General features: G+C 39.3%; 1 protein-coding gene across 7 annotated transcripts in view; it reads right to left on the bottom strand.

The window, feature by feature from the left end:
- PCDH11X (protocadherin 11 X-linked) overlaps positions 1-12,328 on the bottom strand; it is an 843,856-nt gene that overhangs the window by 830,343 nt on the left and 1,185 nt on the right. For 3 of the 7 annotated variants that reach the window (XM_047441993.1, XM_047441994.1, XM_047441995.1), the window contains exon 1: positions 7,165-9,751. The exons of 3 other annotated variants lie outside the window; for them this stretch is intronic. The gene's annotated coding sequence lies outside the window, so the exon portion shown is untranslated. One more of the 7 variants, XM_011530911.3, reaches the window with a different exon arrangement.

Genomic DNA, 12,328 nt, shown 5'->3' with positions numbered 1-12,328 from the left:
CTTGGGTGATCTATTAATGGGAAAACCCACAATTATTTTTGCTTCGATCTAATAGTTGCTATCATTGGCATAGGATATAAAAATATATAAAGTGTAATGATATTGTAAAGGAAATACTGTATATCATGTTCTCAAAGTGTCTTCCATTTCTCTGAATCATGATGCTTATTTGAGTTGTCAGTCCTTATCCTGGAACCTAATTGTAACTTAGAATTGTAATTTTTTTTCTAATGAATATAATTAATCCATTTCCTTTAAAGTTCTTACTAATTCTTTTGTGATCCTATCATATTATTAGCAATTGTAAGTACTTTAAGTACTTAGACATTTAGTATGTATTATACAGTATTGTCTTCTGGCTAATATTGCTCAACCTTCACTGCCATCTCTTTAAAATCTATTCTTCAAGTCTGTGATTTATGATTAAAATTTCATCCAGTTATGTAATATTTTCCTGTAATTAAACTCATTCTAAGATCTACTCAAATTGATTCTGAAGCTGGAAATATAAATGACTTAAAGTTATGAAACTGAATTGGAATACTCTGACATCATTATTTTGTTTAATATTTTGAACCATTCTAATATTTGCTGGATCAGGCCAAGAAATTATTTCATATTTTTTCCAGTTATGAGTCTGAGATAGTCTGATTTTTGACATGTATTTAATTACATATGATTTTTTATTTTAATGCCATTGTAAATTAACTCAATTGTTTCTCATTGTCTTAAAACATGAGGCCGGGCGCGGTGGCTCACGCCTGTAATCCCAGTACTTTGGGAGGCCGAGGTGGGCGGATCACGAGGTCAGGAGATCGAGAACACGGTGAAACCCCCTCTCTACTAAAAATACAAAAAGTTAGCCAGGCGCGGTGGCGGGCGCCTGTAGTCCCAGCTACTCGGGAGGCTGAGGCAGGAGAATGGCGTGAACCCGGGAGGCGGAGCTTGCAGTGAGCCGAGATTGCGCCACTGCACTCCAGCCTGGGCGACAGAGCGAGACTCCGTCTCAAAAAAAAAAAAAAAAAAAAAATGTACTGATCGTGTTCATAGAACTGATATTTCTATTTACCATAGAGTAAGTTTTCTTCTCTATTCTTTGATAATAGAGTATGAAGATGTTTTGCTATCTGTTTATTTTGTCTTGATTCTTATATTTCTTTTCCTTTTTGTATATTTTGGATTTTCCCTCTCAAAAAAAAAAAAACCCTAAAAAGATATAGGGTATTTTGGCTGCTATACGTGCCCCATTAGGTACATGGAAACAGTCTATGCTTAAATGGTATGGTTTGGATTCGGGTCCCTACCCAAATCTCATGTCCAGTTTTAATCCCCAGTGTTGAAGGAGGGGCCTGGTGGAAGGTGATAGGATCATGGGGGTGGATTTTCCCCTTGCTGTTCTTGTGATAGTGAGTGAGTTCTCACGAGTTCTGGTTGTTTAAAAGTGTGTGGCACCTGCACCTGCTCCGTCTTCCTCCTGCTTTGGCCATATAAGACGTGACTCCTTCCTCTTAGCCTTCTGCCATGATTGTAAGTTTCCTGAGGCCTCCCCTAGCCATGCTTCCTATACAGCCTGTAGAACTGTGAGTCAGTTAAACCTTTTTTCTTTATAAATTACCCAGTCTCAGGTAGTTCTTTATAGCAATGCAAGAACAGACCAATACAGAAAACTGTTAGCAAGATTGGGGTTCATACCCACATGGGCACTAGCTTAACATTATTAAGTAATGTTAAGAGTAATGAAATCCAAGGCAATTTTGGCAGACACTCAAGTTCATTTAGCACTTACAAGAACATTTTAATCCAATTGGCCCTTTATCTCACTGAGATCCTCAAATTATTACCACTAAACAGACTTTGCTGTTCCTGTAAGTATCAGAGCTTAGAAAAGACTAGTACAGTTTCATCGGGAAGGTGATGGCTTCTGAATCTCAATGGTACAATTAAGACATGAATTCCAACGCTGAAGTGAAAACTTTCAGTTGTTTTCCTAACCCTGCTAGAACTATACCGTGTCTCCTAGCAAGCACAATTTAAACATTTACACTTATTTCAATGGTTGCTTTCAATGTCATTTGTTTTAACTTGATACTGTTTCTGAGCTGCACATAAAGAAATGAGAACTATGAAAGTTTTCCTAAACTAATAATGAATGAAAGTTTCACTTAGATTAAGTGACTATTCGGCTGTATTCTAAGATAAAAGTCTAGTTGTGAGGAAAGTGGTTAGCATGGTGTCTAATTTACCATTTGTTCCCACTTTGAGGACTTTTATTTTGAGACAGCAAATACAAAATAATCTCTACCAAGTGTCTTTCGTTGTTGCTGTTGTTGTTCTGCAAAATGTGTGTACTAATAAGAAAATAAAAAGAAGTTTTTCAAATTAGGTAAATGAAAATCTAATTGGATATTCTACTCTAAAATCTGAATGATTAGCTGATATGTTCAATTCTGATATTTTACAAACCAATATCTTTAGGGGTCTATACTATACTAAGACTTCTCAGAACTTTTGGATTTCTTTAAAAAGATTTTAAGATACTGGTACACCGTTGACACTGTATGATGAATGGTTTTCATTTTTGAAATGGTATAATCGTATGTACAAACTGTCCATGAAATAGATTTGACTGCAAAATGGACAAGCAACTGGTTGTTATTCTGAACTACAGTTTCAACCAATATAGTCACACAAAAGGTTAAAATCAAATTTAACCTCTAAATGCAAATAATTGTAAATCTAGTTGAATTTAAAACTTTCATCCATTGCACATACCTAAATTGTTTCTTTTTTCTTTTAAGAAATCCTGTTACCCTTGGCTTACTTCATCTTTATCATGCTTGTTTACCAGACTATGGATCAGCGCCTTTTGGATAACTGTAGTTTGAGGGGCAGCAGCTTCCATGTGTACAGGGAGCTTGTTAGAAATGCAGAATTTCAGCCTCACCTAGAATCTACTGAATCAGAATCTGCATTTTAACATTTCTAGATGATCTGTCTGCACATTATAGTTTGAGAAGCACAGGAATAGAATGTAATTTCCTAGAAACTGGAGTTTAAAATAACAAGTCGTTAGCAGTGATGCTGATTGATTAGTAATTGTATATTGGTTCTATTTCTTTCTAAAGTGTTTTGATTCTGTTATATATGCCAGCTATCCAATTTTTGAACATTAGCCTTATATTCCCATATCTGTTTACTCCTGTATGCAGTTCTGAGGCATTCAGAATGTCTGTGACTTTCAGTGAATTCAAATGCTCTTTCTTAAGTAATCCTGCTTTGCACTCATGGCCATTATAAAATGGCCAGCACATATTGTAACTGCTTTATTTTATGGATGCTAAAACTGAATTCATGGACTAAGAAAGGCTGCAGACAAGGAAAGCTTTAAGAACTGTGGAGGCAGACTGAAGGGTAAAACGTCACTGACAAACTGAGCAAATTCTTTCCCGATCTAAAAAGAAAGGCAAAGGAAATTCTGCCTGAGGAGCTCTCATGTAAAGGTTTTGTCCTGTTTGTGTGTTTGGTGTGTGTATTACCTATTCTTAAGCCTCTCTTTAAAAAAATTTAATGTATTCATGTTTTGGAAGATTTTGATTCTCACAACCTAGCAAACAACCATCAAATAACAATTAAGGTATTCTTTTTTCTTTTTCTTTTTCTTTTCTTTTTTTTTTTTTTTTTTTTTTTGAGACGGAGTCCTGCTCTGTTGCCAGGCTGGAGTGTAGTGGCGCGATCTCGGCTCACTGCAATCTCCGCCTCGCGGGTTCAAGGGATTCTCCTGCCTCAGCCTCCCGAGTAGCTGGGAGTACAGGCGCGCAGCAAGACGCCCAGCTAATTTTTGTAATTTTTTTTAGTAGAGACGGGGTTTCACCATGTTGGCCACGATGGCCTCGATCTCTTGACCTCGTGATCTGCCCGCCTCAGCCTCCCAAAGTGCTGGGATTACAGGCGTGAGCCGCTGCGACCAGCCAACACTTAAGGTATTCTAAATATATAATATGAGAAGTAAAAGAGAGAAGCTATCCAAGGCAGTTTCAAAAAGCTTGCATATTTCACACTGAAGAGAAAATCAGGCCCTATCATCCAACGCTCTGGTAGTTCTCTTTCTTCTCTATTTGATTTCCTTTCTCCTCCCCTCTTCCTCTGTCACAAAGTAAAATAAAGCAGTCTACGATTACTCAGGAAAGAAGGGAAAGCTTTGCTTTGGCATAATTTTCCTGCCTACCTTTGCCTGACCCATACTCCCTAACAAACGCACATATGCCCTGGCATAGAGAATGAGATTATGTAGCAATCATCAAATTTTAGAGAATGCACTCAAAATCTTCCCCAGATTATATTTAAAACTTAAAGGAAATGTGTACTTAACTATTTAGAGTAAATATGCATTTATAAAAATAAAACCATCCTTCCAGGAATGTATATTTCTAGCCATTTTAAGTAAATGGGCTTTTCCAGTCATTTTTTAAAAAAAATAAAATACTTAATGCATTGATACTTGAATCCATTCACTTGTTTTCCATATCAAAACATCACTTTTTATGTTTTATAACATAATATGCACAATACAGGTGCTTTTAATAATCTCTATTCAATACAAAATGTGGGAAACAGTATTTTCTAGATCTGAGTCAGAGTGGGAAATTGTTTACTGCAACAAAAAACAAACAAGTTTTGGATACATTTAACTTTCTGATAAGATACTATTATTAAATTTGAGCAAAGGTAATTAAAAAGCCCTACATGATGGTGTTTTAAAATTCTAAACACATTGGAAAGCAGGGAACAAGTATGTTTGTGGAATAAATTAATTCATGCTATCACCCAATACCTTACATGAACTCCTGTAGCACTCATATCTCATCCCTGAGCCTTCCTTTTCTTATCTGTAAAATGAAGGGTTTGGACTAAATTATCTTTCTGGTCCCTTCCACTCTCAGAGTCTATAAAACCTGCACTATACTTGGTGTACTGTAATGTAGAGTGACAACGAATATTTGTTGAATTCAATTTAATGTGACTATATATTACTTTGTTGTTGTTGTTGTTCATTGTTTTAGCCCTATTAGAATATAAGCTTTTCAAAGACAGAACTCTCCAAAATTTCTTTAAGGGCCACCCTTAACATTTAAAGTATTGCAATGCTGGACAAGCCATAGGTTTTTAGTTATTGATGGTTAATGAATCAATACAGTCAAATTGATAATACGTGCAGAGCCAAGGGACAAGGAAAGAATGTCCTAGACGTCTACTGCTTTTTGTAAAATATCACAGGATTTTTTTTCCCTTTGCAAAGGGCCTTGAAATAACTTACAATTCCTTCATTTTACTTTTGGGGAAATTGAAGTCCAGGGAGGTGAAGGTTTTTGCCCAAGGTCACTCTCTAGACACTAATAAAACATAAATCATAAAAGACCTTGTGTTCACACAATTTAAATAAACCCCTGCTCTCACTGTACCTGAAACGAGTTTGTAATCTGAAGACAACAAACAATGATTTGAATTTTGGGGGCTTAATATCCTTTCGGTTGATATGATACAAACCCACACTCAACTGATTATCAAAGATATGTTGCTTCCAAAATGTCGTGTCAGGAAAAAAAACACTACCTAAAAATCATTGGCAAACATCCCCTAAAATAAATCTTATGTAAAAATACAGGTGTTCTAAAAAAATGACAGTAGGATAGTAGGATATAGGACTAAACATTTGCTACATTAAGTAAACTCAAACTTTAGGGACTGTCATTATGATGGGTCATAATTTAAATTATTTTTGTAAACAAAATGGAAGAAGCATATAAGCATGTACTGTTAACATTTCAATAGTTCTACCATTTTATTTAATATCATATAATGTTTACAAAGCTTAGTGCAAAAAGACACTAAATAGGAGAATATAATGCTAGTAGAAAATTAACTGAAAAAGTTATTTTAATATATTTGAATATACTTGTCTTTGAAATTTTTATTTTTTAATCCAAGACACATTATATATTTTTGCTTTTTACATTCAGAACTTTGACAACATATACTCAAAGATAAAAGAGAGGCAAGAAGGGATGTTGGGAAAAGACCTGGCTTGGAGACTAAAGACCATCAATCCTCTTGAAGCTTCCCCTCTTAATTCTGGAAATTCTTAGGGAGCTGATTTCATCAGCGGGAACTTCAGTCTCCCCATTGACAAAATGGGTATAACCATGCCTTCTTTTTCTACTCAAAAAATTTTTATGATCCTAATATAACTTTTTAAATGATATAAAAATATAAAATACTATACATATTGAAGGAGTTAAAGAATGAATCAAAATAAAGGTGACAGAAAACAATCTTTTAATTTCATTTTATGTGATGATAGTAACTGAATTATATAATTAGCTAAAATCTCAATTTGCACTCTAATCACTTAAGGATTTTTAAAAGAAATGAATTTTCCTTTAGTTTAATTAAAATCCATCAGCAAATTAATTTTATCATTGTCATGCTAAAAGTTATATTAGATTATTAAAACAGTTTTTATTGAACAGAGAAATATATTCTTCCGGAATTTATTCTCTCCTTTCATTTATCTTTCCTCCTATTTACCCAAATCTACACGTTCAAGATGAGCAGATTAGGTGTACAAAAATCATTCTTTCAGATTTGGGCTGGAAACAAAAATTGTAGCCACTGATGTTCTTTGTCTTAAAATGTATTATATTAATCCAGTGCATAACACATTAGAGACAATTAAAAGGGCAGTTTAAATCCTTGAACAGTTGAGGATTTTTAGATTGCAAAAAGATAACAGGTACATCTATAATTTCTGGCAAGCTACTCCTCAAATTCAAAACAGTAATTGAAAAATACTCTTTTTCCCATGTTTTGGTGCTGTTTGATAATGAGAATGCAGTGTTTCTCCAGATGTAACTGAAGATCAAAAGACAGTTTCACCCTAAAATAGTTTTCTCTATCTGATAAACTTTTATTTTACAATTAACCTTGCATAGAGAATAAATCTTAAGGGACCATGACACATAGGTCATTTGATGTTTTCTCCTAACAAAAGATAACCACATTTTAGAGATGATGCCTTCGTGAAGAACTTCTATTGAAAAATAACACCATTTCAAATATGACCAATTTGAACATAGCAAGCCAGTTTGGAACATCAAGACATCTTACCTAGTTTTCTTCATTCTGGACACTGAATGATCAATAAAGTCTTCAAATAATAGAACTCTGCTCAGACAATGACATGTAATTTGGAATGTTGTCATATAAAGCCAATCCAATTAAATGTTCCAAAGTATTTTATTTTTCCCAAAGGTAATATGTATATATGTCTTTGATGAAAAATGTATTTTTACAGCGTACTCTTTCTTCCCTTCCCAATTCCCAGCGATGTTGAATCAATTCCACTGAATGTAGAGAGAAGAACGATATGAGAATTGCACCTTTACCATACACACAGAAAAAGAATTTTCTAAGAGTGCAGTTAAAATAAAACAAACAGGGGTTCCTTTGCCTCTGAAGATTGGTAACTGTATGTTGACATGAACACACGTTGACACAGGCTTTAAAATCCTGTGTGTGGGATGAGGGGGTCTGCTGAGGGGGGTCCCTTCTCAAAATATTTAAACTTGAGCCGCTATACCAATCCCACAAAGCAAAAAGAAAAAAAGGAGGAGGGGGGGAGGAGGGAATAAAAATAAGAAAGAATTTCACTGAAAATATAAAAGGAATTACCCATGGGAAGAGAATACAGCAGAAAGGATGGGATGCAGCGAAACAGTGTCAGGAGTGTGTCAGTGAGAACTTCAGAAAGGTTGGAAATACTCCCCAAAGTAAAATATTTGAATCCCCAGCCACAACCAAAGGAAAACAGACATTTGCAGGCATAATAAAAATATATAACAAATTGAAGGAATTCCACTAAAAGTCTTGTGTGAACTAAAACAGCAAAAGACACAGAAAGGAAGAAACCTTGATGACGAAAATTTGGCAAATCTAAGCAAGTTTAAAGTAGAGTGGCTTTTCTTTCCCCTTAGCTTCTTTGAGGTCAATGAAAGATAGGAGAATGCAAGGTGGCTAATGGGGAGGAGGATGTAAAAGGGGGAAATGAGTGGACAAATTAGCAGGATAATTAATGCATGGGAAAGGGGCGGGGAATAGCTGACTTAGAGGAGGAAAAAGAAGCGAGATAGAGCTATTTGTTAGTGCCTAAAGGGAGGAAAAAGACAAGATTAAGAGGCTCTAACTGGTTGTAGAAAGAAGGCTGAAGTGGGTAAAATGTTACATGATGTAAGGTTCAGAGATGATGCAGGGATGTGTGTAGAAAATGGGGTGAGGTGAAGATGAATGTGCTTGAAAGTGGCTGAAGGAGTGGGGGTCTCCCCAGGACAAACGGAGTTTACTCGATAGATGGAAGATGGGGAATTTTTCGAAGGCTGGATGGGGAAACTGAGATGAGTAAAAAGATCTGAGTGGATAGATGATGATGCCTAAAGAGAAATTTTATTCCCCAAAGTAGCCTTCTTTTCTTTCTTAGTTATACTGATTAGCTTTAGGCCCTATTCTTTCATTAGTCCTCTTTTCTGGATGTTACATTATCTTCTTAACATATTTGCTTCCACTCTCTACTGTAATACATCAATGTATTCAATTCTTCATTTAAATGCAAACAACAATAATATTTCTACTGTGTGCTATCTATTGCCCAATTTTCTCAGGCTATTTTGTTGTTGTTACTTTAACGAATTTGCTGGAAAAAAATATTCAAAGATGTTCTAGGTCTACAAAACACACATATACCTCTAAACTTTGTAACAAGACATCAAGCCCTCATGCCCTTCCTTACTTATTCTGTACAGGGCATGACCTTCCAGATACATTTCTTGGCTAGCCACTGACTAGGAATGACTATTTTTAAAGCCACAGACCTCTCTCTCCTTTATGAACCTCTTCTCAACCTCTTAACAAAAATTAATTCCTCTCTCCATTATGTTCAATTACACCATTTATCACATTGTCTGGCACAGTAGGTGACTAATTAAAGTTCGTGGACTCTTCAGTGAACAAATACAGGGATGACACCTCCTTTAAATTATGTGAAGCAAGATTCTTGGAGAGAATTAGCCTTCAAAATTTCATTCCCTGAATAATTTTCTTTCCCACTAAGAAAACGTGGCTGCCATACATATTTTTTCAATGTAGCTCAAAGCCAGTGGCTTATATAAACTCTCCTTTGTCGATGTGCCTCCCCTTGCTCCACCAAGAATCTTATAAATCCTAGCTAAATGCTGTTGTGGACTGCTTGCGCAGAGAAAAAGAATTTTCTGCTTTCTGAATCTCTTAACCAGATTTCTTCCCTGCCACCAGCAGTCTGGAAGCTCTCTATCAAGAATTTCTATCTCGCAAAAAAAAAAATAAAGTTTTGAATACCAAGAGAAGGAAGAATGTGAAACCTGCAATCCCTTCTGCCAGGGCTTTCAGCTGCTGAAACCCAGCATTACCTGGACGTCCTTCAGAATCCAGTCCGGTGACAAAAAGGCCAAGGAGCCAGGGGGAAGGGGCAGGGAGTGGGGGTGCACAGTTTATTTCAACCCTTAGCAAATGACTGAGCTCTAGAAAATGAGTGTGTTTTATGCTTGGTCGGAGTTTCTTTCCCATTCCTGTATTTCAGACGCACAGCAACTTTAAGTTTGCTGCCAGCTATACGTCATGAAAGGGAAGCTTTTCATCAAAGGGAAGAAGAAAAGGAAGGGGGAAGAATCCTACCTTTACAAAACAGAGTAATTCTTTGCTTCTGCTCCCTTTGCCCACATCTCTCACCTGCGTCCAAACCAAAACACAGTAAGTAAGCAGTTTGTTGCGACACCCCTTGAAGGTTTTTTCCTTTGGAAGGTAATTCTGCTCCAGGCGCCAGTTGCCTCTACACGCCCTGCCTCTGCCCCTCCCTCTTGCCCTGTGCAACCTTCTCCAACTGCATTCTGCGGCCCTTCTACCAAAGCTAAAGAAGGAATTGTCCGCAATCAGGAAAACAGATTAGCCTCAAATTTGGCAAAGCAGGGGCTTGCTCCTTAGGACTATAAGAGCAAGCTCAAAAGGGAAGCCGCAGCGGGCTTCCGTCTTAAAGAAACCTATTCCTGCATCATCCCAATTTGGAGCGCGTGTCTCTAAATAAAGAGCATGGTGGTCTCTCCCCTATGGCAGTAGTGGATAGAGCCTTTCCGCAACTTCCAATTTGCAGTTTCTTCTTTCTGTGAAGGGGATTCCCCAGCCTGCGCTTTCGCCTAAGGTTACAAACCCTCCCCCACCTCACAATTTTGTGGGAAAGATGACCCTCCCCGCCTTCTAGAGAGCTTGCTCTGTGACAGGCGAAGCAGCAGCCACGGGGTTTTTTTTTAAAGAGGCCGTTCTTCACATCTTTTTTATCACCCGAGGGGAGAGAAAACAGCAGAAATTTAACACCAGTTACTACTATTATTGCATCTGGAACACTTGCCCTCTAAAATGTTGCTAAATAAGTAAAGTCACTGTGAATAGTGAAGGTGCAGGCTGAAAAAGGGAGAGAGCTGGGGCGCGGAGGAAAGGAGGAAATGGAGGAGGGAAGACCCCAAATCTGGGTTTGAACCCCGGGTTTAAAACCGGCGGCGGGCCGCCAGCAGTGGCCACCCCCGCCTCTGGCGCCTTAGCGCGCCTCTGAGGAGCGAGGGACTGGAAGGGGGGGGCTGCGAGCCGGGACCCAGGAGAGGCCGAAGGGACACGAGGGCGGCTGCGCGCAGGGAGCGCGCGGGGCAGGGCTGCTCGTGCTTGCGGGTCGGACTCGCCGCTCGGCTTCCCATCGGCCGGGCCAAGCCTCTCTGCAGCTGACATCATTGCCAGAAGGAGGGGCTGCCCCTGCCAAGGCGACTGAAGAACAGGGTTCTCCGGCCTGGTAGGCAAAGGCGCTCCCTCGCCGCTTGGCGAGTGTGGCGACCTGGCAGCTGCAGCGGGACTCAGCTTTTGGGAACTGTCGCGGCAATTCTTAATTTAGTCGAGGGAGAAAGGTATCTTTAGACCTTAGCGCATCCATCTCTCGGTTCTTTCGTCAAGACCGCCCGCACACGGTCCGCGCTCTCTCTATGATGAACCAGACAAAGGCAAGAAAGGGGGAAACGTGTACATACACTATTACTTCGACTTGCTTCGAATTGCTTCCCCACCCCCAGCCCCGCCGCGACACACACACACACACACGCGCACACACACACACACAGACCCACAGAGGAAAGGCCAGCCCTGGCGCTGGAATTTCCTGCTGGGATTGCGAGAGTTTGTTTCAAACAAGATTAAAAGTGGAATTCCGTCAGTCTTTACCAAGTTGCGCGGGTGCCCGCAAGTACCGTTTCCTTTTCTATTTTGAGTCACACCTGTTTTACTTTTTAGGGGGCCTAGGTCGCTTTAAGTCACAAAGCACCTCTATGTTCTCAGGTGTGCTCAGCGTTCGGAATTCTCTGCATGCTCCTCAGGTTGTTTCCTGGTTGCAGCGCTAAGAGCGCACAGGCGACTGCTATGACACCATCGCCTCCTCCCCATCTTTGCTGCCCCCCCTCCCCCTTCTACCCGGATTTTCAACCAGTTTCTTCCACACACTTTTCTTCGTACAAACAGATCCTAGGCTGGGTTTAAATCCCATTTTGTGATGTTTCCACACAAGAAAAGGACACTTTAAAAATTTTTATTTTGTTTGTTGCTGAGCTTTAATTCTTTTTCTTTTGTCCTAGCCCCTCTTCCCCACGGTTTTTGCTTTGTGGGTGTGTGCCGCAGTGGCGCAAATAGCAATTCCCAGCCCCCAGCCCACATTTTGCATCGGAGAGGCTAGGGCTCACCCGTAAGCGCTTCACATGAGCAGCCTAGCGCCCCACACCCTAAGCCGCAGGCGGGTGAAGCAGAGGAACGCGGAATAAATCATTCTGAAGCAAAAGGGCCCATCTTCGGTTAAGCTCTAAAAGTCTTTCCCTGGGAGAGGCAAGGAAGCGGCTCTGGCTATACACTCTGAGAAAGTGACCTCTCCTCCTACCCCTCAGTCCTTTTGCGACTAAGCGCTCAGATGCGAGTCCCAGCCGCAACCCGGGCGGACTGCCGCTCCGCTCTTCTAAAGTCTAAAAAATACACCCGTTTGCGGCTGCTCGCTTTTAAAAAGTCACATTTTCCGATGAACCTCTTTTAAAAGGTACATTACTTTTCTCGAAAAAAAAGAGCCGTTTTATCGCTACGCGCTTTAAGAAAAAGAATTCCTTTGTGAGGACGTGAACTGTTTCTGGGTTCTGTCTTAGAAAACACCACCTATTTATGGGATAGGTGG

Source organism: Homo sapiens, chromosome X (genome assembly GCF_000001405.40).
Source record: "Homo sapiens chromosome X, GRCh38.p14 Primary Assembly".
Lineage (NCBI taxonomy): Eukaryota > Metazoa > Chordata > Mammalia > Primates > Hominidae > Homo > Homo sapiens.
This window is presented reverse-complemented; position numbering and strand designations above follow the sequence as displayed.